Source organism: Homo sapiens, chromosome 12, assembly GCF_000001405.40.
Source record: "Homo sapiens chromosome 12, GRCh38.p14 Primary Assembly".
Lineage (NCBI taxonomy): Eukaryota > Metazoa > Chordata > Mammalia > Primates > Hominidae > Homo > Homo sapiens.
In genome coordinates this window covers 24,536,396-24,563,638 of record NC_000012.12, presented here as the reverse complement: position 1 = coordinate 24,563,638, position 27,243 = coordinate 24,536,396, and the positions used below count along the sequence as shown (strand labels likewise).

Below are 27,243 nucleotides of genomic sequence, written 5' to 3'. Positions count from 1 at the left end.
CGGCAGAAAGAGTCGGAGCCCAGCGCCCAGCCTTATTTCTCCCTAAATATCACTAAATTTCATTCCCTGGTTCTTGGGCATTGGGTTGGGGTGTGTGTGTGTGTCTGTGTGTGTGTGTGTGTGTGTGTGTGTGTGTGTGTGTGGTGATTTTTTTTTTTTTTTTGGCTTCGCTTAACACAAAACCAAACCAGTTCAACCACCCCGGAGGCAGAGATGAGAGCGCCTCAAAACTTTTTTCCCCTACCCCAATCTCCGAGGAGTAGGTGGGTGCACAGTGCCGGCGGCGGCGGGGACGCGCGGCGCGGAGCCTGGCTCTGGGAGGCAGTGGCCGCTTCAGCAGCCGAACCTCTCGCGGCTCCAGCCTCCGCGCCCAGCAGCCCGCGGCTCGCCTCCCGGAAAGGTTCCACGGACCCCGCAGCCCCCCGCGCGCGCCCTCCCTGCCGGCCCGACCGCCTGACCACTGGACTAGGGGGCCGGGAGGGGCCAGGTCCTGGGCGCAGAGCAGCGGCTGAGGCTCAGGCGCCGGGAAGAAGTTGACAAAGGGACTTGACTAAACATGAATGCGTATTTATAGATGCGAGCTCCATCGAGATCTAGAGATATCCCGCTCTCCCTGGCTCCTTCCACTCCTGCCATTTCATTTTTATCGCTCCTTTAAGTGGAGGGCAGATAAAAAAAAAATTCCTGCACGGTGTGGGTAATCGCCGCGTTATTTACAATCTAGTTACTCTGCAGCAGACGGGGAAGAAAACTCTGGGGCTCCTTCCCTTCGGATGGATAGAGAGGGCGGCCGGGCGGCGAGCTGCAAGAAGGAGGTCAGGGTGGGCTTGCGGGAGCTCGGGGGCGACCTGGAGGGAGCGGGAGCCCCCGGCACCGCCCCCGCGCCCCCCCCCCGCCCCCGCCGCACCCCCCGGGGCGGGCGCCGGGCCGCGGTGACCGCCGGCTGGTGCGCTGCCCTCGCCTCCCCCATTGTTCCTACTGTCTTTTTGCCTTTTGTTATTTGCACTCGCATTGTGTTGTTTGTCTCTGAAGCCGCCTCATGACCAGCAAAGGGATTTCACCTCGTCCTTGAGAGCAACACGGGGAGCGCGAGCGAGCGGGCGAGCGAGAGACGGGGGGAGAGAGAGGGACACGCGCGCGCACACACACACACACCGGCACACACGCACACACACAGACACACACACACAGAGTGAAAAAGGCGAGCCACCAAAACCCATCTCCAGTCTCCTCCCGGGGGCCCCCAGCCCGCCTCTGTGCCACTTTGCATCCCACGCCGGAGGAGGCATTAACGAGACCGGGTAAGGTGCGTGAATCGCTGCGTTTTAACTTTGTTGTTCGTCCCGATGTTGTTGTGGGCAGACCTCCAAGGCGCAGAGCTCCCCTCTGCCGCTCGCCGGGCCCGCCACTCAGCACTCCTTCCCGGCTCCAGCTGGAGAGCCGCGGAGGAGGGAGGGGGCCGCCGCCGGAGTTTCCTCAAGTACAGAGGGAGGGGGACTGGGCTGGGGGTGGCGGAGAGGTGGGAGGCGGCCCGAGGCGCGGAGTGGCCCTGTCATCCCCGGGGGCGGCTGGCCGGGGGACCCTGGAGCGCCGGCTTGGACCCCGACCCGGAGACGGGATAACTTTCTATTTTTGTTGGGAAGCCTGCGTACTGTTGCTGGTATTGTTTTGTAAGTGGTGGCGGTGGAGGTGGTTGATGCGAGAGGAGAGTGCGGGGAGAACCCTGGGCTGTGCTGGGCATCGCGGCCAATGTCCAAGGCCAGACCCTAAAAGTTGGACAAAGCCCCTTAACCCTTCTAGGATATCAGAGCGACCCCTGGCCCACCCCCTAACCTTAGTCACCCCCACCTCCCGACTCTTTCGTCTTTTTGTTTCGCTTTCTGCAATCCTTCTCCCTACCACTCCCCCTCCCTCCCGCCCGGAATTTCTGAAACAAGTCTCATCCTTCAGGATTCTAGGGATTTCAGAGACCGGAAGCTTTAATTCTAATTGCAACTACTTTTTCCCCCCACCTCACTCAGTGTACCAAGTGAAGACCACTCACGTGTTGTGTCACTTTAAGCGCGGGTTTGGGAAATCTCGCTTGCACTTTGGGGCTACAGCAATAAGAAGCAATGAAAAGAGGTTATACGAGTTGAAATCAAATTGGATTTGGAAATGTTTGCGTTGGAGAGCAGCAGTTTGTTGAGTATTGATCGGATGCACACGAAGCACTGTTTACATATTTTATTAGTCATTTTCCCTACACTTTGCAAAGCGACTATATTAATAAATAGATTGACCCTGGTGAATATCTGAAGACGCTGGTTTCTGTGACTAAATTCAGAATGTGATGATGAATGTGAATTCATTTTAATGTGTTCCCTTCTCAGCTAAAGCAGGTCAAGACGAGGAATCCTGTGAATATGCAGAGCCCTACACTCGGTGCCAGGCAGTCCAGGCACTCTGGGTGGCAGTCAACTGTACTTTCTTACAAAAGTTTAGGGATTTGCTGGAACCCACTTGAGATCCTCACATACCCAGATAGCCAAAGGACTTTGTCAAGGAAGGCATAAGGAGGTGTCCCCAGGGACTGCCTTCTGGCTCAGCAGAGTTCTTTAGCCAAGGGCAGGACCAAGGGAAATCTGTGGGATTTGGGGCAGTAAGTGTGGGAATCTGCAAAGGGACTGGACAGTGATTTGTTTCCTTGCTTTTCATAAATAATGGCCCCTAGTACCCTGAAAACACACACACAGACACAAACAGGCCAATGAAGTAGGCACATGTGAGATTTGTAGGCAATGGACATTTCCATCAGAAAAACCAGAGGAAAATTTTTGATCAGGATTACGGGAGTGAGGCTCGATGGCCAAGAGTGATTAGGTTAAGGGCCAGATGGCTTTAAAGTATACGGAAATGTTTTTCAAGTTTGACTTTTATAGCATTTAAAAGGAGGACGATTTCTTAGAGCCTTTACAGAACTGCTAAATTTTGATCTGTCTAATTTTAAAGGAATTCAGCTGTATGAGAATTGCTGTTAGCTCAGATAGGGAAGGAATCTGGTTTCAAATGCAGATACATGGAACAAAGTTTCTAGGGGTGCTTCTTCCTGATTTAAATATAGCTCCCAGGCAGAAGCCTAGATAAATTCAGCCACAATGATTTAAAATCATAAGTACTTACAGTGGAAGTTCTTTTAGGCACTGTGCAAAGTTCTCCTGCAAATTATGCCATCAACTGTTTATTCCTCAGAACTATACAAGATAAAAATCATAAGCATCACTTAAAACTGATGCAATACAGCCTTAAATCCTTAAACTGCTAGGGATTGCTTTTGTTTGCCTAAAAGGTAGATCTTTCATCACATGAGTTGTTTAAAAACATTTAATTGTGGGGGTGGGAAGGGATGTGCATAATTATTTAGTTATTTGTGTTAATTACATAGTAGCATACTTGCTTGAAATTCTTTCTTTTTTCCCCCTTTTCTTTCCAGTGATCTCTCTTCTAACAACCTTGTTCCTGAAGAATCAACAGTTTTTTCTTGCTGTGGGTTTAAAAAAATTCATTTTGTAGCCTTTTTGAGTGGGTAGTATTGATCCAATCTGACACAGACTTGCAAGTGTAAACTCTTAATACAGGAAAAACTTCAATTCTTAATACGGAAAGCTTGTATTAGTTTTGTTGTTGAGCTTAAACAGTTCTGGTTGAATGGCATGTTGTATATAGAATTCAAAACTCCAAAACCTGTTTGGTAAATAACTAGGCATTTGAGGTCCAATGGCTAATTCAAATTAAGTTAGTTCTATACATGTAAGTGCACATCCTGTTTAGACTGACACGTGGTTTGGTAAAAGAAAAAAAATGAATATACACTTGGAAAGATGCTATCTGTGGAGTATATAAATAGTAAATAGCAAAAGAGTGAAGTTTATACTCAGGTATGTTGTCATCTTTTTGGTTGTCCTCAGTGGGGGTGAGTTATGAGTGATAAGGAGAATTTAAATTTCTAAATTTACCTTTTCCAGTTAAAGGAATGAATTTAAATGCTTAAAGAATTTTTTTTTTTTTACTTACAAAGCAAGTTTAAAATATGATCTAATGCTTACAGTATGTACTACCTTCTTGAAAAGCTCTGTTCTTTTTCTGAGTGATAAGTAATCATTGATTTGAGGGTATGTTCAGATTATATAAAAAAGTAAAACTTACAGGACAAAATTTATGTTTCCTAATCTCCTAAAATACACTGGATTTCAAATAACGGAGAGTTCTAATGTTGAATACTGTTTAGATTTCCAGCAGGTATAATTGTTGGATATAATTGATTGGCATAACCTGGATGATTCACCCAATATCCAATCAACTTCAGTGGTAGAGAATGCTATAATTGGAGTTTTGAGAGTAACCTGGAAACTTATTTGTCTAGGCCTGAAGTCAAATGCATTCCCTCATGCACTGGTCAAAAATTTTTAGTCTGAGAAATGAAGATTTATTTTAAAGGCGAAGAAAGTGCTTGGCTGTTTCAAATAAACTATATCCTGAACTTAGATTTGTAGATAGTTAATGAAATAAAAGTCCAATTTTGTTCCAAACATTGTTTTAAAACACCCATTTGTAAATTGTCTGCATTTGGTTTTCATATGTTAATGATTTGGGATCTGAAACTTATTTCAGAAAGGCATTTTGGTTTATCTTAAAAAACACCACACAAAACTGTCTAAACAACTCTGTAAATAAACTGTTCCAAATGCCTCAATTTGATGAATGAATTAAAGAATTATGGTTCTTAATCCAATTATGATCAGTCTGGTTATTCCATTTCCCATTTGGGGGAGCTTGGGGAGTTGGAATAGTAAATGATTCTCAAATGTGAGTGGGGTCTTTGTTGTTTACTTTGTGTGTGTGATGTAACGTAAATAATCACTCATACCTAATATTTATGAGAGGGATTTCTGATGTGGAGAAGTAATTTCAAGATCTTAAATTAACCAAGAGTTCGTTTGCATGAAAAGTTGCCATTAATAAAGGAGTAAAGTGAAGTTTTTAAAAATATGAAGCAAAGATCTAACCTTTTGCTTAAATATAATGAATTTTGATATTTAAGAGGGGAGAAATGGAGTGCTTAAGGCTCAGTAGAAGGGCAGACAATCAGGCACTTTTAGTTTGTTTTAGCCAGGCCATATGGGGACATTTCTGTAGGACTATTTAATAAATTTTACCAAATTCAATTTCCTTGTCTTTAAAATTGAGTCAGGGTCAAAGGTAGGCTAACTATGAGTTAGCGGAATTTCGCGGGGGGTTGTTTCCTCCAAAGCCCTGCTCCTTTATCTGCCTACACGGGACTTTTGAAGGCTTTACCAGCGAGGACCCTGACCTTCAGGATGGGCCCTTGACAGTCCATTTTGCTTTGATGGGCCCTTCTGAATTCCTGCCTCATTTGCCCCATTTAACCTCTGGCTCATAAGCTAATTATTTTAAAGTTGCTAATAGTTCATTATGGTTTAATTCTCAAACTAGATGATATTACTGTTATTTTGGCAGTTTATTATGATCGTCTAATTCCATAGAGATAAACTTGTTGCAATTACAGGTATCAAGGAAAGCTGCCAGGAGGAAATATTTACATGCATGAGGACTTTTTCAGGACTACTCAAATCATACCTTATAGGCAACTAATGATTTTACTTGCAATTAAGGATAACATTCAGTAGGGGCAGCATATTGACAAAATTAGGAAAAATTTGAATGCATGTAAATAACCATTAAATAACCATCCTTCAAAATTGAGCCATAAAAATGTATCTTGGGGAGTACTAGTGATGGTGGCATTGAATTCTACAAGTATAAGTCCATTCATTTTCTATTTCTTAAAGTTCATTATAAGTAAAAACAAAACACCCCAAAACAAAGACCTGATTGTATCTCTGATGCTCAGCTACATGTCATTCAACTACTGTATGTTTTTATGATATCCTATGTACATAGCTTAAAAATAATACAGTAGTCATAGGGATGAGCGGACTTTAGTTTGATACGCAGTTTGTATTCTCTGGTAGCTTAAGACATTTTTTCTTACTTCAACACCAATTAAACTGTTGGAAGTGAGGGAATTCAGGAAGGAATCAGGAGAGGAGAAAGGCTATCTCATTTGTAGGTCTGTGATTCATCCAAAACGTTATTTAGAGATCTGAACTTACAGGGTTCTACCTCCTTTTTTTTCTTAACCTCTTTTTTTCTTTCTTTCTTTCTTTTTTTTTTTTTTGAAATGAAGTCTTGCTCTGCCACCAGGCTGGAGTGCAGTGGCGCTATGTTGGTCCACAGGCGGAGGGATGTTGAACCCTCCGCCTCCTGGGTTCAAGGGATTCTTGTGCCTCAGCCTCTGGAGTAGCTGGGATTGCAGGCATGCGCGGCCACACCCAGCTAATTTTTGTATTTTTAGTAGAGGTGGGGTTTCACTATGTTGGTCAGAGTGGTCTCGATCTCCTGACCTCGTGATCCTCCACCTCAGCCTCCCAAAGTGCTGGGATTACAAGCGTGAGCCACCGTGCCTGGCCTTCTTAACCTCTTAAACTGCAAATTATGATGCCCTTTCTTATAGGGGTATTGTTTGGATTATGTTAGATACTACGTGTGAAATGCCTAGCATAGTGTCTGTCATGAACTAGGTGCTCAATAAATGTTAGCTACACTCAGCTCTCTCTCCCAGTCGAGTCTAGGTTCTGATCATTAATAACGTTTGAAGTTTCATTTTGTACTTACTTTGAACTTATTTGAGTCTAAAAAGAAAAAATGTATCACTTTCTTGAGGCTGAGATCAACACTTTAAAATAGTGATTCAGTGGTCTGTATATGATCTCTGACAATGTGGTTTTATTAAGGTGCTGTATTTGGTGCAAGTGTGAATTCTATCTTTTATTCATATAAGTGCTCCTTCAGTAATTAACATTTTTACCCTACATAATAGGTAAGGATAAATAAAAACTTTAGGACCTAATTCTGTAGATTTTTCCTCTTGTTATCTTTTTGATTTCCTGTTAGCAAATATGAACTAGTGAAAATTTATTGAGATTTAATCGTTTGATAGTCATTCACCTCTGCATTATATTAAGTTATAGTACCTGTGGATAAACAGAAAGTCCGTGTGGAAAAAGAAATCCATCTGAGTTTTCAATGTTTTGCTCTCTGGAGTCAACAGTCCTTCAAAGAGAAACTTGTAGGTTGGTTTGTTTATTTAAATTGGGTGCAAGGAGAAAGGCACCATAAACATACCATTGCCTGATTTGAAGAGGTGATGTAAAGTAACATGGAGAAATTAGTTGTTATTTTCTCTTCCCAATGAAACAGAATTTGTCTATCAGTACAACTAAGCAAAGATAAAGGAAAGTCTTCTTAAAACAGAAAATAAATGTATTTTCTTGCATTAATTGGGGTTCCTGAAGAAGCAGTTGCCAAGATGGGATTAGACCTGTAAGAAGTTTATTAGGGGAGAGGGCAGGACAAGGCCGGGAGAGCCTTTTGACTATGAGGCAAGTTTGACACTTATGCAAGGAGAGGGGCAAGGGAAGACGATTGAGTAGGAAGAAGCTTGACTATAGTGCAGCCTATGAAAGGTTTGGCTAGGCAAATAAGAGTCAGCCATTGGAAGAGTCACCTATCTTGAAAGAATGGCCTGTATCAGCATTCCTCACTGTCAGTCATTGGCTGGGAGCAGCTACAGGAAGCATGGCCTCCGTGCCTAAGTGGTGCTAGAGCCATAGGGGAAGCAGTTGGGGAAGTAAGTCAGTTACACTCTCAAAACAGGAGATCTGAATGGTATAGCTGTGGTTTGGCAGTATAGCCCAGTTTAGTAGTACTTCACTTGCTTTGGACACTTGCTTTGGACTCTGTCTTTTTCTGTCTCTCTGTCACACACACACACTCACACACATGAGACCTGGCAATTTCTTTGAGGTCTCTTTGAGTTTTGAGTTTCTTTGAGCTTTGTTTTCCTCAATTGCAAAATGAGTGTAATGGCAGTATCACCTCACTAATTGGGATTAAATTAGGTTATACGAGATCATCTCTAAGTCCATTGTACTGTTTGTGGCATGGAGGAAATGCCCGATGTATTTTACACTCTTTTCGATGTACTCACAAAATGCATCTGAAAGCTATAGATGAATTTTATCAGGTGATTGTAAATATATTTAAATAATGGATATTTCATATAATTGGAAGGCATTGTTTATGCAAGCAAACATCTTTAATGCTTATCATTTAAAAATAGCTTGGTTCATTTATCTTCCATTAATCCTTATTTTTTATCAGAGTATAAACCGTACACCAGCTATACCAACTGACCTTGACCATCTTTAGGTAATTGGCCCTAAAGCATGAGGCAGAACTCTCTTCATTTCCTTACCTCTCTAGGCTTTCTATTCAGTTGAGTAGCAACGCACTGGAAGTCTGCATTTTATCTTGAGCCTCAAACACCTTGCAAGTCTTTGCTCCCCTGTGTTACTGTTCCTAAACCAACTTGCAGCACCACAAAGCACTGAACTCAAGTGGCCCTCAGCGCGAGCTCCTGCTGTGATGAGTCGCAGAGCCACCAGCACTTTGTTGCCTTAGATTTGATCACTGCCATGAGCAGTCCTTCGATTGTCAGCTAAGAGCCCCTTCAGGGAGTTGTCCCTTAATAGAAAGTCTCTTTTCTTCCCTCCTGTTGTAACTTTAAATTAAAAGAAACTGTAGAGGAGCTGGTGGCATTGCAGTAGTTCATTCTTCTACCCACTGGGAGAACAACATCTGAGAAAAGACGTTATTGGACTGAGAATTGAGTTGTTGCTATTTTTTTGGGCCAGAGTCGGCGGGGAGGCGGTTGTGGTGGAGGATGAAGACCACGTCATTTAGACTCAGTCAGACTGGTAATCAGGATTGTGATTGAGAGCAATACTTTTGTGTATGCAAGGAAGCTTTCTTTTTGGATACAAGAAGACGCCCACTTAGCCTGTGAGTTTCAGTAGGATTCCTGGGACCCCTAATATTTTGACCCAGATTTTTAGGTGGTTCTCTGTGTTGTACTGTGGGAAACTGGCACTGGGACAACTTTGGAATCCAAGGAGGATGGGAGGCAGGAAAAGAGAGCTAATTTTTGACACATTCCTCAGACAAGGGACTCCTCTAGGGAATCTGTGCCCAGGATAAGGACTGCTTACTGTGAAGCTTTTGGCATAATTTTTTCCTGAAGAGTGAGCACGGGTTGCTTCAATGTCTCTACTTAAAAAGACTGACAAACTTACGTTTGTGAGAGGAAAAGAAAAAGATGTTCATACTTTTGACAGTGTGTTTCCTAGATGGCACCTCTCACTAAACTTTGGATTTAATCCTCCATTGTGGCAGGTTTATACCTTCCATAGTTGCTGGCTCATCCCCATTCTGGTTTAGGAACTATGGCAAAATCCGATGTCTGCCTAGATGTACCGGTGTAATTCAGGACTACTAAGAGCTGACGTTGTTTGATGTATACTATCAGGAGTAGACTGCAGTTTGCATGCAAGTTCTTGTGATGCTTGATATTCCTGTGCACCATTGGCATTCTTTCATATGTGTCTGGCAGAATCAGTCTCATCAATGTACTCTTGCACTGGGAACTGCTTTTGAAGACATGCATACTATTTCTTATAATTCTGTCTTGAATTTTCTTACTTCACTCTCAGCCTCATCTCCACGTACCTTCTCTATTAACCGAATAGGAGTGTCTTTTCCACATCCAACCAGGAACTAAAGTGATAATTTTCATGCATATGAAACAAACAGATAGAGATCTATCAGCATGTAAAGAAATTTCATAGGTCCTCTATTTATTTTTAGAGACTTCCTGGGGCCACCCAGAAGCTCTTCTCTTCCTATCTCCTTTTACCTATCACTCCTTGCTGGCTTTTCTTAACCTTTCTCTTACCACAAATTCTCTATTCTCATGGCACCACTGTCCACTCTGCCTTGTGTTGGACTCACTGCATGAAATGAAAGGTTTTCGAAATACTCTGCTGCCTGATTTGAAATGGGTAACCATAGGGTGACATAAAACATTTCCAATTAGAAGGTAAGCTCCCTGAGGGCATTGAATTGTAGTCCTAGCAGAATCACAATGCCTGAAACAGAGCAGCAACCACATACATGATTGCTGAGTGAGCATAGTTTGCAAGATGAGTTTCATATTGAGTCAAGGCAGCCCTGCACGATGGGGAAGTAGGAAAACGAACAGCTCTTGAGTGTTTACTGTGTTCCAGGAGGGGTGCTAGATGCCATACATGGATAATCTCATTTAACCCTCCCAGCCCTCCTATCAGATGGATATTAGCACCTTTTCACAGATGAACAAGAGACTCCAGTGGTCAAGTGACTTGCCCATCTTCCTCAGCTCTAGTGAGCGGGACAGTCTTTGCCTGAATTTCAGTCTATTTGATTCTGCCACTTTTATTCTCTTCCATCACAAGGTGTTGGTGTGGGATTCCTCTCTGTAAAATGGGAGCACTAACAATACCTGGCTATCACGAGACAGTTAGGAGGAAGAGATGAGAAATAGTTATTGAAAGCTATGTCTTTGCTGTAAAGTGATCTCTTTCTTGTTTTTATACTTTTTCTTATTTTTTGAGACAAGTTCTCACTCTGTTACCCAGGCTGGAGTGCAGTGGCACAATCATGGCTCACTGCAGCCTCAACTGCCCGAGCTCAAGTGATCCTCCTACCTCGGCCTCCTGAGTAGCTGGGACCACAGGCATGCGCCAGCATGCCCAGCTAATTTGCTTTAAATTTTGGGTAGAGATGGAGTTTGTTTTAAATTTTGTGTAGAGGTGGGGTTTCATCATGTTGCCCAGGCTGGTCTTGAACTCCCGAGCTGAAGTGATCTGCCTGCCTTGGCCTCCCAAAGTGTTGGGATTACAGGCGTGAGCCACTGTACCCAGCCTATAAAGCGATTTCTAAATGTTGCTTATTATCAAATATTCACTAATCCCTATATTCACCAAAAAATATTCATTGAACACACAGATGCGTGTTGCATATACTTAAGGGAAAGTATTTTATGACTTAAGCAGAGATTCTGAATACGTAAAAACTGACATCAAAGGAAATTACAGAACAGTGTTTCTCAAAGGTGATCATCCAGTCAGCCAGTTGAAAACCACTTGGGATATTTGTTGAAAATGGGGCTTTCTGGGTCTCATCCCAGACATATAGAACCTGAATCTCTGTAGGTGTAGTGCTGTAACCCTGCATTTGTAACAAGTGTGACTGGTGATTCTTTTGCACATAAAAGTTTGAGAACCAGTGATAAAAAATTCATTGATCTAGTTTGGTAGTAAGTTATATATACATGGCATATGGAATTTAAGTAAGATGCTCACAGAATAGTGGTAGTGCCAAGATAAAGCACAACTGATTGTTGGACTGCTAGAAAGACTTTTTTTTTGATAATGTGGTTTTAGGAGTTCTAAAATAAAATTTAAAGAGCCTTTAGTAATTTGAGTATATAAAACATTAACATGCTTCAAGTCAAGAGTGAGGGGACCTGACATAAGGAATCTAGGGGTTGGGGAGTGGGGAAGGGGGCCCTGGGGCCAGTTATATGTATTCTAGCCTTGGAAATAACTTTTTAACAGGCCAGACTGAAGGAGACTAAGTAGACAGAAGACAAGAGGTTGATCTATTTATCCAGTCCTGTATCCCAAATAAGACAATGTCTGGGACATAGTGGGTGCCTAAAGATGTTTGTTTAATCAATGAATAAAAACACACAGAAGGAGAGAGCAGCATGTAGAAAACAGACTAGAAGAGTTTGATTATGATTACTATGGCTAGAGAAGGGGAGAAAGAGTAGGCTGAAAAGGAGTCCTGGTGAGATAAGACGAGGACAGGGTTTTAATTAGGCTAATATGGTCCTTACAGGAAAGTGCCTTTTATACAAACAAATAAACAATGAAAAACACTAACCCAAGGTTTGTATGGGATCAAAACATGAGTCCTCTGTGTCTATTATCTTGGGATAACAGTTACCGCATGAGGATAGGGACCTTGTCTATTTGTTCTCCGTGTGATCTGTTTTGTTCTCCGTATGATTGTAGCACTCAGCAAATATTTATTGAACAAACGACAGCGCTTCCACATGGACAGGGGAAAAAAGCATTTACGTTATACAAAAATATCTTGTAAAGAGAGAAGCTAAATCTTTACAGATGCTAGCCAATAGACTGGTGATCGTGAAAATAATAAATCTTCATAAAACTGCACATTCTTAGACAATCTATTTAACGTTCAGTGAGGTCTACATCTGATTGTCTGTCACCAAGCAGTGCTTTATGGACAATTCCACTTTCATTTTACTGTTATGAAAATCCACCAGCGTGCCCAGCACAGTGTCTTGCTAATATTAGCTATTTAATAAGTATTTGGTGAATAATTCAATGAATGAATGAGGAGTATTGGTTTGGGGCTGGGGGGAGATGGGAACTTGAAAGCAGCCTGAAAAGAGAGTTGCCCTCATTCAGTTAGAATTCCCAGAGTGACATGCGATCCAGAGATCTTTAAGCAGGCAGATTTCCCATACAGGTCAAGGCCTGGTTATTGGAATCTTGAGGGGAAGAATGTTTGCTAAGGTAATGACTGCAAAAGTGGGTTCAGCATTGTTGGAAGAGGCAACTACTCATTTGATCTGAAAAATATATTCAGGGGGAGGGAAGGTAAAAAGTAATTCTAAACCTAACCAGAGTTTTAGTAGAAAAATGGCTGTAATTCAAGCAGTGTAATGTTAACATCAATGCGTGTCTCATGGCTCAAGCCCTGCATACTGCTTTGGAAATAAAAGGAGATTGTGTAAAGAATTAGCAATACAAGGCATTTTTAAGTGCTTTATTGCAAAGGCCTGTGATACTCTGTGAAATCTATGCAGCCTCTTTCTTCCTGCTGTGCTTAATTTCAGAATCTGATGCTATTACCTATCCTTGGAGGAAAAAGAAATAATCATTCTCTGTTAACTCTTAAAAATCAAGTTTAACTTTGCACTTATTTTCAACATAATCTTTCCGATATTTCTTCAGAAGAGAGAAGTGGAGTATTTAGCCATGGAGGTTAGTATCTAGGATTGCTTCTGGGGGCAGGGTTAGAATAAGAGGGCAAGTTGGAAATAAATGTTGCAGGCAAAAGTTTAGAAATGGCTCCATCTGTTTGAAGGATGAGGTCTCTAAAAGGGTCATCAGAGATTGTGTTTGGCATGAGTCCAGAGCAGAAGCTAGAAAGGTAAATGGGTTATAAGGAAGATCCAGCAGAAGCCAGGACAGGAATTAACAACATAGGTGGCTATCTTCTTATGACATGAAGACCTGTCCACCAAGAATCGTTTCCTCCCTGGTATACCATCATGGCGCCCCTGCTCCTGTCTCACTTGAAAGCACAGTTGACACTGATGTTGATTGATGTTATTGTTGCTAGACATTGTACTAAGCAGTTTATTTTTATTGAATTTTCCTAATAACTCTAACATAGTTACAGATGCTGTCCCATTATACAGCCAAGGAAACTGAGCTTGCTCAAAGTAGCATAGCTAGCAAACGGCATAGCTGAAACTTGAACCCAGAGTGGACTGATTCTGAAGTCTGAGCTCTTGCTCATTGTAACATAGAAAAATATATTTTTAGTCCTGTTAAGTCATCCCTCAAAATGATGCTTGCATTTTCCCCTTTCTTCTATATTCACCCCTCTCACCCTGAATCATTGCAAGTTCCCCAAACTAGTATCTTTCCCTCGACTCTGCTCTATTTACCACTATCAGGCCAATCCTCCTGACATGCTGTTAATATTTAGAAATATTTCTCCAACATTCAGAGTGCCTGGGTACCACACATGGATGCGACTAAGATTCTTAAGTCTGGTTTCTAAGAGCTTCTTCAATGTCTCCAACTATCTTTTCAGGCTCATGTTTGAGACCTTCCTTTCAAGAATAATTTGCTTGTGATCTGGTTCAAGCTGAACAGAGATTTTCAGATGACTCCCAAACTATCTGCAACACATCAGCCCTATTAACTCTTCTCAGAATGCTCATACAGAAGCCATGCCAGTGCACAAAAGCCACTTCTGACACCTGGCCCTGTCTGACTCATGGATTTCTTCCAGGATTGCTCTTTCTATCTGCTTTAAACCTCCTTGTCAATTGACTTTCCTTGGCTCCCAATCCACTTTGCTCTGTATTTTTGCTTTCTCTTTTTGTTTTGTTTCTTCATTCATTCAGTAATCAATAAATATTTCTGGAGTGCCTACTATGAGCCAGACACCATGTTAACTGCTAGAGATTCAGTGGTGTGTGGAACAGGCACACACTTTGCACACAAGCAATTAAAGTCTATTAGGGAAGATCAACATTAATCAAATAATTATCAGCGTTTATGATTGCAAATTGTGGAACTGTATTTCACAGAAGATTATACAGCATATGAGAGAAGTTTCTGATGTATTTGAGGGAGGAGCAGTTAGAGGATGCTTACATGAAAATGTCACATTTTAAAGATGGCTAATGAGGTAATGAGGACAGGAGAAAAAAATCTTTCAAGGTGAAAGGAATAGCATGTGTAAGGTTTCCAAAGAGGGAGGGAAAAGAGTGTGTTCTTAGAATTAGAAGGGCAGCATGGCTGAAGCAGAGTGGAAGGGAAATAGATGGAGATGAGGTTGTAGAGAGAGATTGGGATCAGATCATTAAGCTTTTTCAGCTATGTTACAGAGTTGAGTCTTCATAATAACGGTGATGAAGAACCCATTGAGGTTTCTCAGGACAATAAAATTTGTGCCTACAGCCTGTAGATCACATTTAAGAGAGGCAGGAATGAACGGATTTGGGTGAGCTAGAAAGGAGGCTATTGAAATGATTCACACAAGAGAAACATGGTGGCTTGGACTATAGCAGTAGTGTTAGAGAGGAAGGCAAGAGGAAGGATTTCAGAAACAAACATGCTGTTTCAGATGCTTTGTACCACCCTCCATCCCCATTCCACTAACCTATTGGGATACTCCCTCTGGTCATCTCCCAGTGTTTCCATGTTTCACAGCTTTAAAAAGTAGGTGCTTAAATCCATACTTCTAGTTCCTGGGGACTCTGCTGGTGGGGAGAAATTTGACACAGAACATGTAGTGCCTCGTGTCTACATATACATACTTGCCTTCACCTCTTTATGTCTTCCTTTTGTACAACGCTTCTCCCTCGTACAGATATTCTAAAATCCTGCCCATCCCTTAATTTCCAAATTACATTTTACTCTTTCACAGCATTCTCACCAAATATACTAGCTGAATATCTCTCACTCTGATCTTATGACACTTATATCTGTAACTATCTTTATGGCTTTCAGCATCTATTGTAGCATATTGTAATCATGTTGTGAGCATGTCTTATCTCCTGAGAGATATTGTGAGTTTGTGTCAAGGGACATCGATGCTGTAGCTCAATATTAACACTGCTATTTTGGATTTTCCCTTCTAGCTGGGTTATTTACTTGAGCCCTCTGAGTCTGATTCCTCATCTGCAGAATGGGTATAATTACATTTACTTTATGAAGCCATTATGAGGAATTAATGATAGAATGAATGCAAGGTACTTAAAAAAATCTCCGGCACATAATGAATCTCAGCATACAATAGCAGTTTATGGTTATAAACTTTATTCTTTGAAGTCAGAACCCTGTGTCTTATTACTACTTTTCTCTACTTGTAACTCAGTGAATATTTGTTGAATTCAGATTTGAATTTAAGTCTCATTTCTGCCAGGGGATACGAACACTGTATAAATAAATTTTGATACTTGTCTGTGAGAACTTCAAGTTGATAGGGGAGCTAGTAACAGAAACTGGTTATTTGTTATTGGGATAAGTATAGTGATAGAGAAATAAACCCAGATAGAGTATTTTGAGAGCACCGAAGAGAGGTTGGAGAAGGTTTTCTAAGACAACTTATGCCTGAGCTGAGTATTTTATTAATCAATTAGATACCATTAAAATAATGTATGCACATAATATAAAACCCAAGGCTATATAATAAAATAGCATTTTTGTCCTATTGACAACTATACCCACTCCATTTCTACTGCTTTCAATTCTGTGTTTCTAAGTAAAATGTTTATTCCTTGTTTTCCTTGTTTAAAAAAATGTTAGATAGGCCGGGCGCGGTGGCTCACGCCTGTAATCCCAGCACTTTGGGAGGCCGAGGCGGGTGGATCATGAGGTCAGGAGATCGAGACCATCCTGGCTAACAAGGTGAAACCCCGTCTCTACTAAAAATACAAAAAATTAGCCGGGCGCGGTGGCGGGCGCCTGTAGTCCCAGCTACTCGGGAGGCTGAGGCAGGAGAATGGCGTGAACCCGGGAAGCGGAGCTTGCATTGAGCCGAGATTGCGCCACTGCAGTCCGCAGTCCGGCCTGGGCGACAGAGCGAGACTCCGTCTCAAAAAAAAAAAAAAAAAAAAAAAATGTTAGATATCAGTTGACTTCTCACTATTTGGCTCTCTTATACTATACTCCTCCTACCCCTACTTCCTAAAACCACACATTTTTTTTCTCCTATTGTTCCAATATAATTTCTTTTTTTGTTGTTAAATCAGTTTAGTAATACAGTTACTTTGACTATGTAAATGTTGCGTGTGTCTTCCTGAGCATATTATATACTGATTACTTTGACTTTTTAAATACAACTTATTTTGTTTCCTGGAGCTAATAATGGCCTATGTCCAAGCCTTCCAAAGTTTTACTGGAAGTTCTCAGTGTTTACTGGAATTCCTGAGCCATGGTTTACTGGGTATGTGGCATATCCAGGGCGGGCCCTGGGGGAAGTCAACCCTACTGCAAGGACCATTTTATTACTGGTAGAATTTACAGTTGTTGGATCTAGGTGATAAAAGGCTCACCAACTTTTTATCAGTTATATTTCTTAGATTTTCTGCCAACAGAGCACCCACTTATTATTTGCCCTTGGATGTTCTGCTTCCACCAACCTGTCCTTGCTAAGACTGTGAGTTCAGCTAAGCAAGGCAAGGGGTGGTGCTCTGAGAGAGTGGTAGTGTGTTCCAAGAAGATGGGACAACCTGAGTGGAAAGGCATGGCAGTGAGAGATAGCATGTTGTGTTCTTGGAATTACAGATAGTTTGGTATAGGTAGAGCGTAGAGTACAGGGCAGGACTAGCCGAGATGAGGCTGTGTGGTGGGCAGGAGTCAGATCAAGGTGATCTTTTTATTACAGACTCATACTCACTAGATTCTGTCGTGTAGGCCATGGGGAAACTCATACTGTTAAGTAACATGGTCTGCTTTGCTTGTGAATGAATGACAGAGTAAGCAAAAAATGGAAAACTAGCTCCTGAAGTCAGCAGTTAAAATGCTGTCTTTGCATATTCAGTGATGTATTAATATTTTAGGGATACTCCATCAGGCAAATTGTTAGAGCACACATCCCCAAGAATACACACACAAGCACAGAAACACACAGACATTCATAGTTTATGTACATGTGTTGCTACTTTAGTTAATATTCAGGGCCCAATAAACACTGAAAGCAAGGTCCAGGTTAAACGATGGTGCCTCTAACAGTCATGTCAGAGTTTCCCGGAGACCTACTGTGACATGTAGATTTGCATGCAGTGAGTTTCTGGGAGGATTCTCAGGGACACCACCTGCGAGAGGGTGAGGGAAAAGGACGGATAGGAGGAGATGTTGACTGTGATGCAGCTGAGGCTTCAGCTCGCCAATGGGGAGCTCTGGAACTGGATGGCTGTTCAGAGATGTTCTGAACGGAGACCCAGAGCCAGGCCTTTATAACTGAACATCGGGGTGGGATGTGGGCCATCCCTGTGGAGGGGCCACAACTCTAAGCTAGGGCTATTCTTGGAAAGGGACTGAACTGGGAGCTTCCAGCAGCCGATACTCCTGGCAGCTGGGAGAGCAAGTGCCGCTGGGCAGCGCACCACAGCATCCACTACAAACAACCTTTCTGATAACTTCTCTATTTTTTAGAATTCTCAGATTTTTATTAAAATGCGGATGCCAAAGAACTAGCAATTGGTCCATGAGATGCAATTCTGCCATTTTCCTGGGTTTACTTATGTTTGCGTTATTCGTATTACTTGAAAATCTGTCGATTTTTTTTTTTGAGAAGAAAACCTTTTTAAACCCCTTGTCCATTTTATGAGGGTCAATTTAGCTAAAAATTAGACAAGGCAATCCATAATGCATTTCCTCAAGCACAGGAAAACTGTTATGTGTGACAAAATGGTGAAACAAGAGAGAGGAGAGCATTAACATTAACTTCTTCCTGTTGTGAAAATGAGGGCCCCCATGTCAGTTTATTAGTAATTGGATTAACAAATACAACCTTGTAGATCATCTTGAATTTCTGGCTTTGGAGAAAATGTCTTTGTGGAATGAAACCAAGGCAACATTTTAACTGGAGGTAGGACAGCTTGTTGGACCTACACATATGGTGGTGGTGATGGGGTCTCTTTATGTACGGGGTATAGTGTTGCTCAGTACGTGGACAAGAGGTAATCAGCCAGAAAGGGTAGTCCTAGGTTTTTTCAGGTTCCCAGGTGGACGTCTAAGTCAGTGCTCTCCTAATTTTTCTGATCATGTATATAAACCGTCAATAAAAAATATATTACTCTATTTAAACAGTAAACACACAGAAAGGGGATAAGATAAAGAGTAAATAAAGAATATCTATAAAATCAGAAACGTAATTAGAAGCTGTAATATTTTCTTCTAACATGCCAGTTGACTTTTTCTTCTTTTTGCACCCACTTCAAATACTACTGAATTAGATTTCTAAAGCATAAGTTATGTACCAAATGGGGACAAAGTGCGTTGGAGACAGAATTTGGCAATTTAATGGGTTTGACATGTGCTACTATTTAAATGAGGTAGTATGAGCTCCAAGTATTAAAAAGTGAACTGAAGAAAAATTAGGTTTTAGAATAGAATTGGGATGCTTTAAAATATTTTTTTAAATCATGGAGGGAATGTGTGTGTGTATGCATGTGAGTGTATATCTGTGTGTGTGTTTGCATTAGCCAGGGTCATAATGACTTAGCATTTCTTTCTGTTTAGCAATTCCCCACAATTAACTAAAAGGTTGGGGCCACACTGACACCATTACCCTTCTGTATATCTGGCTCTAATTTATGATCCATATCCTGCCTTATATCCCAGAATGCTTTTGAATGTTCTTCCATTGTTTCTTTTTTTCAGATTTATCAATGTATAGATCAGTTAAATGCAATAATGAAAAGATATCTTTATTAGTGTCATCTCAGCAATAGAAAAACTGAAAACACAATACCTTCCATATGTATAATAAGTTCTTACCCATCTTTTTGGAATTTTAAATATTTATAAGCACTTTCCTGGTAAAACTCAGACGAGTTTATAAGAATTATCCTAGAGTCATCTTGTGCCTGAACTTAAGATAGCTTCCTTATTAAAATCTTTTATTTTGCTAATAAAAATCCATTTCAATTATGTTCTCTTGTTTTTATATTTAACAGTACCTGCTCATGAGATACTGGTTGCTTTAAATTTCTTGGAAGAAAGGGGATAAATACATTTCGGGTAGCATTATTATTACTTTTCATTATGGATAAAATTAAAAGGTAGCTGGATTTGGAACCAGTATATAGATGTCTTAATAAGGATATGGTAATCATGGTTCAGTCCCTAAGGAAACCTAATCACATAATCTTAAATATAGTTCATAAGTTAAAAGGCAGAACCTTGTTATGCTAGTGTGCTATCTTTAAAATAATAAAATTAAGATTCTTTAAAAATATACGTACAAATGATCTTTCCATTATTGAGTGTAGACTGTCTCTCAAAAGAATATTATGACTTGAAATGTTCAAGTAACTCCATCCTTACTTGTTGTTAATTGCTTTATAACTATTTGCATTTGCATACTGATTTTTAAAAACTTTTTTGAGCCAGGGTCTCACTCTGTCACCCAGGCTGGAGTGCAGTGGCATAATCTCAGTTCACTGCAAACTCTGCCTCCTGGGTCCAAGTGATTCTCCCACCTCAGCCTCCTGAGTAGCTGAGACCACACACGCGTACCACCATGCCTGGCTAGCTTTTGTATTTTTTGGTAGAGATGGAGTTTCACCATGTTGGCCAGGCTGGTCTGGAACTCCTGATGTCAAGTGATCCTCCTGCCTCGGCCTCCCGAAGTGCTCGGATTACAGGTGTGAGCCACCATGCCCAGCCACATATTGATCTTCATAGTAATTTAAAATAAACAGCGTTGTATTTGATTAATCTTAACTTCTTATTCATTCATTTAAACCTTTTTTATTGAAAGTCCATTTTTGGTTACACATGAATTGAGTAAGGGGGTTACAATGGTAAGCAGAAGAGATTTGGTCCTTACCCTTACGGAGCTTCCAGTCTAATGAGGAAGATGGAGGTGAGTCAGCTGACCATACCAATAGACTAGAGAGATGCTCTCTCCTCCAGTGTTGTTGTGAGTGGTAGCTGGACTGTTCATTCTTTTAAAAATCACAAATGCATAGAATCTTAAATAAATGCTGTTTACATTAAACATTTTAGTATATTTAACATGTGTGCTTTATTAATTTATCAATGTTTCATTGTTCATCAGTGTTTATCAATTTGCCAATTAATTGGTATAGAACTCAGACTTAAGTATGGGTGTCCTGAGTGAAGACTCATTATCTTCTTGGGTAAGCCACACCAAAATATATATTGAATGCTTCTTAGTTTTGATTTATTAAAAATGGAGGAGACCTTGAAGGCATTTGGCAAGCAATCTAAGTGCAGAATTTTCTAGTTTTAAAACATTTTCATCCCAGTGTTACGAAGGTGACAACTAATATAGTGGTTCTTATAAACAATTTGCCTTTCGTCTTTACAAAGCATTCAATTTGGTGTCAATAAAACATTCATTTTTGCCCTTATATTTCCCTAATTATGTCATATTTAGTTAATTTTCATGATTACAATAACAAATGACATAAGCAGACTTGGGATGAAGCAGACAATTAAAGTGGTGAGAGCAGGATGGTGTGGGTTACTAGAGGAGTCTTTCTGCCATTCAGGTGCCAGGTAGGCCTATCGTATATTTTGCAGAAGAAATGGAGCACATTAGTTTCTCAGGCGACTTGGGGAATGTAGGTGGGCTAAGAACGTTGTATTATAAATATGTATAGTGATAAGTGCTATCGAGTGTATTATCGAGGAAAAGTACAGGCAGCTGTAAGGATACATAGAGTAGCCTGTTTTATTCTGAAAGTCCCAGAAGGCTTTCATGAGGAAGAGCCATTTGGGCTATGGTATGAAAAGCACTAAGGGCCAACTAGGTGGAGAAGTTGTGGGTGAGTAAGCATAGAGAACAGCACGTACAAATCTCTGCAATGGGCTAAAGCTTGGACTGTTAAGGGATCAAGAGAGCAGTGTGGCCAGGGCACAGAAAAGAAGGGCCAAGGCTGTGAAGGTTGAGGTTGGAGGAGGCAGGGGTCATATATCATAGAATCTTGTAGGTCCTCTTAAGCCTTTGGGTTTTTAATCATAAAAGCATTGGAGAGTAATTAAAAGATTCAAAATTATGATTTAAAAAGATTATTCTGGCTGTTGTTTGGAAAAAAGAATGAAGGGACATCAGGTAGTGATCCTAGTAGCCTAAGTAAGAAATGTTGTCCTTATTCTGAAAACTATTCACTGTACTGTTTTTCGTGGCCTGCTACGTGACTAAATGGGTCTTTGAAATACTTGAGGAAAAGCAGAGCCTAAATTTATCGTAGTTTAAATTTTTTTATCACCTAGGAAGACCTGGAACAGAATTTTCTATACTATACTCTTACTTACCATTTTCTCCTTTTACATTTATGTTCACTGTTTCAGCACGTTATGTTCTCAAAACAATAGGGGAAAAAAGGAAAAGTCATTCTTTTAAGCTTGTACCATGCTATTGACTTTCTTTGAAAGGACAACAAGTGTGTTTATTTTATCCCTGTGAGTCTAAAAATTAACCATGAAACATCCTTCTTTACTTCTAAACTATGTGTAACAAAGAAATGCTTTATTGCAATTTCATCAATAATTCAAATGCAACTTAAAGGAAAGTAGGGCAGCTAAGGAAAAATAGCACACTTGTTCCATAATTGAGTCGATTAAATAGTATTGAGTCCCATTGTCATAGTCATATTGATGAAACAACTTTTGTAACTACAAAAAGTCTAATAAGAAATAAAACCTTAGAATGATGATGCAATGTCATGGACATTTCTTCGTTTATTTTCTATTGTAAAATACAAATAATGAAAGCAACCTTTTACCGAAGTGCAATAATAAAGGAGCAGCTTTTGAAAGGTGCTCTCATCAGGATATTAGTAGTTTTCAAGGCTGTGCAGTAATAGCCCAGGCTATTTTGGAACTGTGCATACATTAGTGTTCTGGTGCAGCATGATACAATAATGTGTGAAAAAGTATAAGCTCGCACCTTGTTTAAATTTGCAGTTTTTGTGCATAATCCCACAGTGAGCTCTTGCCAGATTTTGACTGTTTATAGGAGAGAAAAGTTTATAGAAGCCTACAGACTGGGGCTTGTTGTAAATATCTGACAATGAAAATAGGGTTTTAAAAAATTGCATGCCATATTTTTTGAAAGATTAAAAGGGTTATGTTAAGTTTATATTATATATGATATTTTGCAATGCAACTTATGGTTAGTTTCACCCAATGGAAGCTTCAGAATACACATACATAGCCATCTACAGGAAAAATGTAGATTTGCTCTATTTAATATTTGCAGGGTATGATTGCAAAGTACAGAGTTTGATTTTTGAAAACAACGATTGCACTATAATTTATGCATTCATATTAATGTTGTTTTCAAAATTGTCACCCAGAGAAGCAAAACCCCTTTTCCAATGATGCCATTGTTCAAAACATTTTGGAAAAACTTCCTCTCTCGAAATTGTCTTTTGAATCATTTGCAAGCCTGACTAAAACATCCATCTCATTACTTTCTAATCGCATTTTATACCAAGATTCATCATCCTTTTTTAATTCACCAGAATTGGCTATAAATGTCTCTCTGAAATGATGAAAATGGCTAAAATTGACTTTCAAATTATGAAATTTGTCACCATTGAGGATATTTAGAAGTGTGTGTGCTTGCATATGTGTGCACAGACTTAGAAAACAGTTTCAGATGGAGAGAAAAATACTGTGAATAATGGCTGATCTTTAAGTGAGTAGTGTTCTAAGGTGACCATTAACATGGTAAAATACATTTGAACTTAGATGACAAGGTATGTTTGTTTAAAAAAGTCACATTACCTTGCATTAGTTTTTACAACGTATACAAAGAAAAATGCGAATATGTCTTTTGGAATGCAAGGCCAAATACCTTACATAATTAGCAGTATATTTTATTATTAAAACAAAGGATTAAGTAACTACAATGCTAATCCTATGTTGGCAGATTCTTCAGATAAGGTCCTTACGTGAGAACATCTCAGTATAATTTTATTTAAATACTGCCATTGACTGTCTGATCTGTAAGTATGTGTATTCATTAGCATCTTACATAATGCATATTAATTTTTATGTCATTTGAAGGCACTAGTTCATAGCACTTGGAATTTTCATTCCAGTTCACCTCTTCATATAAATAATTGACCCAGTTTTCAAAACTATAAGTAATTATTTTCTTAGCCATCAGTAAAGAACGCATATGGTTACATGTGCTTGAAATGTAACATAACTGGAAGGAATTCCAAATGTTTTCTTATTTTAAGAACTCTGCGGTCATTCAGTGTTTATGTGTTGAATGACTTATGAGTAAAATGAAAATGAAGTAGGACTAAATTAATATACGTATCCAGAAATTCACCATTTCCTCCCACTTTGAACATCTTTATTGTGTTCCTTCTTAAATATGTAGGAAATTAAGGAAATGTTTGCCAGAGAGACTTAGGTGAGTAGTTTTTCTTTTCTGAGTATAAGGAGAGCAAACAATTAAAAGATAATTTTACTGTGGTCAGTTTTTGTGACCCTGTACCATCTTTGTAATGTCTGCCTTCCAGCTTTAGTGCATTACAATAGGGATCAAATGTCTATATTTTAAGAATATCATTGGTAGCTTTTTGAAAGTTGATAGATTTAAGTGTAAACCAGTGTTTGAACATGAAGCTCTGGAACACACTTTTGTAACATCACCTTTTAATAAAGGTAGCTCAACAGTTGGAGACAATAATGACTTCTTGTTTAACATGATATGTGATTTATACAGACTAATTTGTGTTTATAGTAATTATTTTACCCTGGTTAACTACCTGTGTTAAAATTTCTTTGTTTTCTGGCTTCATACTACCCAGTTGTTTTTTTTCTTACTTGAATGCATGTATCCTTGACTTTTCTAAACATTTTTAAACACAGGGTTTATGTAGGACTTGTTCCAAACTAATAGGTACTTTGTTCTTTTTAAACACGTTGGTTTATATTAATGAAATTGGCTAATTTGTTTTTGTAAAGTTTTGTTTTCTTAAAGGGGGGATGAGTTTTGGGGGACTAAATCATACTGAACATGCACTATACCTTTAGTGTTTTGGTAAATTTATGTTACTTATTAATTGCCATGACTTTTTGACAACAAACGTCATATTTGAAATTCTACTGAAAGAAAGTATAACAGTGTGATATTGTTCATTTGTGATGTGATAATTGTTCATTAACAATATCTAAAATCTGTAATAGATTAGAAAACAAAATCCCAGCGTGTTTTTTCCCCATTGATAAAGATAGATTTAGAAAGACCATATTTTAAATATGTCATAGTACTGCTAACCGAAAGTTAAGAGTTTTAGTGTTGTAGGAGTTATGCTAGTAAGTAATGTTTATACAATTCTGATAAACATTTCCCCATGACTGAATTTTGAGTGGAAAACTTTGTTTCTTAAAAGGCTCTAAGTGGAAGAAAAAAATATTAGAGTCTGTCTTCTTATCGTGTAGTGTGTGTGTGTGTGTGTGTGTGTGTGTGTGTGTGTGTGTTTAGATCCAGCTTAATACCAAGTAATGCCAACATCTGGCAGAGAGATGGAGATCTGGGAATTTGTTGCTTGAAACCCTGGGACAAAGTGTTCTGATCTGACCGGCGAACATAGCTGTAGACTTGAACTGAAATCTTCAGGGGCAGAAACGTCTTAAGTGTCTGGAAAATTGGCCTGTTGAGTCACCGTGAAGGCACTAAAACAAAACTAATTTTAAGCAGGTCAAAGTTCAGTGATTCCCTCTGGAATTCAAACTTTTTTTTAAGAGTCTCATGTTTAAGTGAAAAGGGTCAAAGTTGATGCACTGTTACAATGTTTTGAATGCTTTCCCTTAAGAACAGCCACCCAAGCTGGGATTAGCATGAGGAACTGCAAGGCTGGCACTTCAGCGTCTGGGTTAAAAATATTTTAAAGCAGTAAATGCAGTCAGTACAGAGAGATCCCTGGGAGCCTTTCTATTCAAAAATGTGTGAGCTCAGGGCAGCGACTGCAATGTAATTTAGGGCAGTGTATGCTTCATAGCTTTGGAGAATATTGCTTCCCGTTAATGTTCCATCGGAGGATGGTAGGATAGTAGTAATTTTAGAAGGTGGTATTCCTGTTTGTCTTACATCGAAAACTTCAGAATAAATAAAAGGAAACATCAATCGAACAAGAAATGTAACTGTGGAAAAGTACCAATGAATCTAAATTTGAACTGAACAGATACAAAACCAGCATGGGTGTAGGAATATTTTTAAAGAGGAAGCTATGGCAAAAGCAACTTCCCAGGGGATGGACTGAGCAGGTATGTACAGTGTGGACAAATAGTCTGCAGAAACTTTCGAGAAAATGCCTTGTCAACAGGGAGGTGCTTTAACTGTGACTAGATGAAATGGCGTTGAGTATTTGAATGGAGGAATTATCTTAGAACATGGAAACATAAGAGATTTATTCTCAGTAGCTGGCATTCAGATGATAGCTAGATAACCTAAGCAAACCAAGTCATTAGCTAATCACAATTCCTTGAATGAGACTGCATTGGGAAAATCTGCTGGCCTGACCCTGAGGTGTGTGGTTCCAGGACTTCTGATGTTAAAATGTTATATACTGCAGTTGACGGGATTCAACAGGCATTTCCTCAGTCTGAAGATTATGTTGCTGAGCAGAATGAGAACTAAACAAGATTCTTAGACATTAAAAAGAACCTATCATTTTATGAGTTGTGTCTAGGAAATGCAAGAGGAACACTGACTCTGCCTTCAAATTTTAGATACTCAGCTAAAAACTCTAGGCAGCTATGAAATTTGGCTAGGATCCAGAGTCTGCTAAACCCCCTGTAAAACTTTGGTTGTTCTTATCAGCTGTTTTATTTTTCCATGTTACCAGTTGCAGAATAATTCTGTTACTTTTCATCATCAACCTATGATACTCACTTTGAAGAAGCTTTAATTATTTAGTTATTTATTCAATAAAGAGCAGTTATTCCAATTTGAGGAATTACATTTTGCATTGTGTTTACTGTGTCTCCAGAGATATGAATTCAGTCATGTCTATTTATTTTAATGAGATAAGCCAGGAGCACGTGATAATATTTTTACCAAAACAGAGTAAAAATGCACACGGAAGAATGAAAAGCTAATATTATTGTGTGGCATGATGACTGTCTCTTCTACAGTTTTGAATCAGAAAGGAACCCGAGTTGTGCTGAATGACGAGAAGATGACATGCATATTCTGCATGTTTTTTTCCCTAATATAGGTGGATAGAAAGTTGCCTTTGATTTGAATCCTTGAATTCAGCTGTGTTTATAAATAACATTACGAATGCTGCTTATTTTAATGTAGTGATGAAGAATATGGGAGAATCACAGATTACAAAGCTTAAATTAGAAAAAGTAAAAATGACAAAGGTTTTCAAGAACTGGTGCTAGGATTGTAATGCAGGAGTACTTTTAGGGTGAGCTCTGAGACTTTTCTGAATCTTAATTAGGGCCAGAAGTTTAACTTTTTGAGCAGGGATTTTCAAAAGTAAAATTTATTTACTATCTAAACTGTATGAAAAAATAGAAGCATCAGCATATTCCATACTGGAATTCATTATTTTAATAGGACTCGTTGACAGTTTGATCGCAAATGACCTCTTTAAAAAAAAATGTGTGTTGCTCTGAACTTTTGCCCCTCAAAACCCTACAAGTCTTTGCAAGGAGCGCTTTTGAAGGGAAG

The 27,243-nt window shown here is 39.6% G+C and overlaps 1 protein-coding gene across 20 annotated transcripts in view; it reads left to right on the top strand.

The window, feature by feature from the left end:
- The window catches only part of SOX5 (SRY-box transcription factor 5), a 1,033,147-nt gene continuing 1,006,892 nt past the window's right edge, over nucleotides 989-27,243 (top strand). For 11 of the 20 annotated variants that reach the window (XM_024449157.2, XM_017019893.2, XM_024449154.2 and 8 more), the window contains exon 1: nucleotides 1,148-1,306. The gene's annotated coding sequence lies outside the window, so the exon portion shown is untranslated. Of the gene's footprint in view, nucleotides 1,307-1,497; nucleotides 25,827-27,243 lie in introns of those variants that run through there. The other 9 variants (XM_024449159.2, XM_024449158.2, XM_047429458.1 and 6 more) reach the window with 3 other exon arrangements.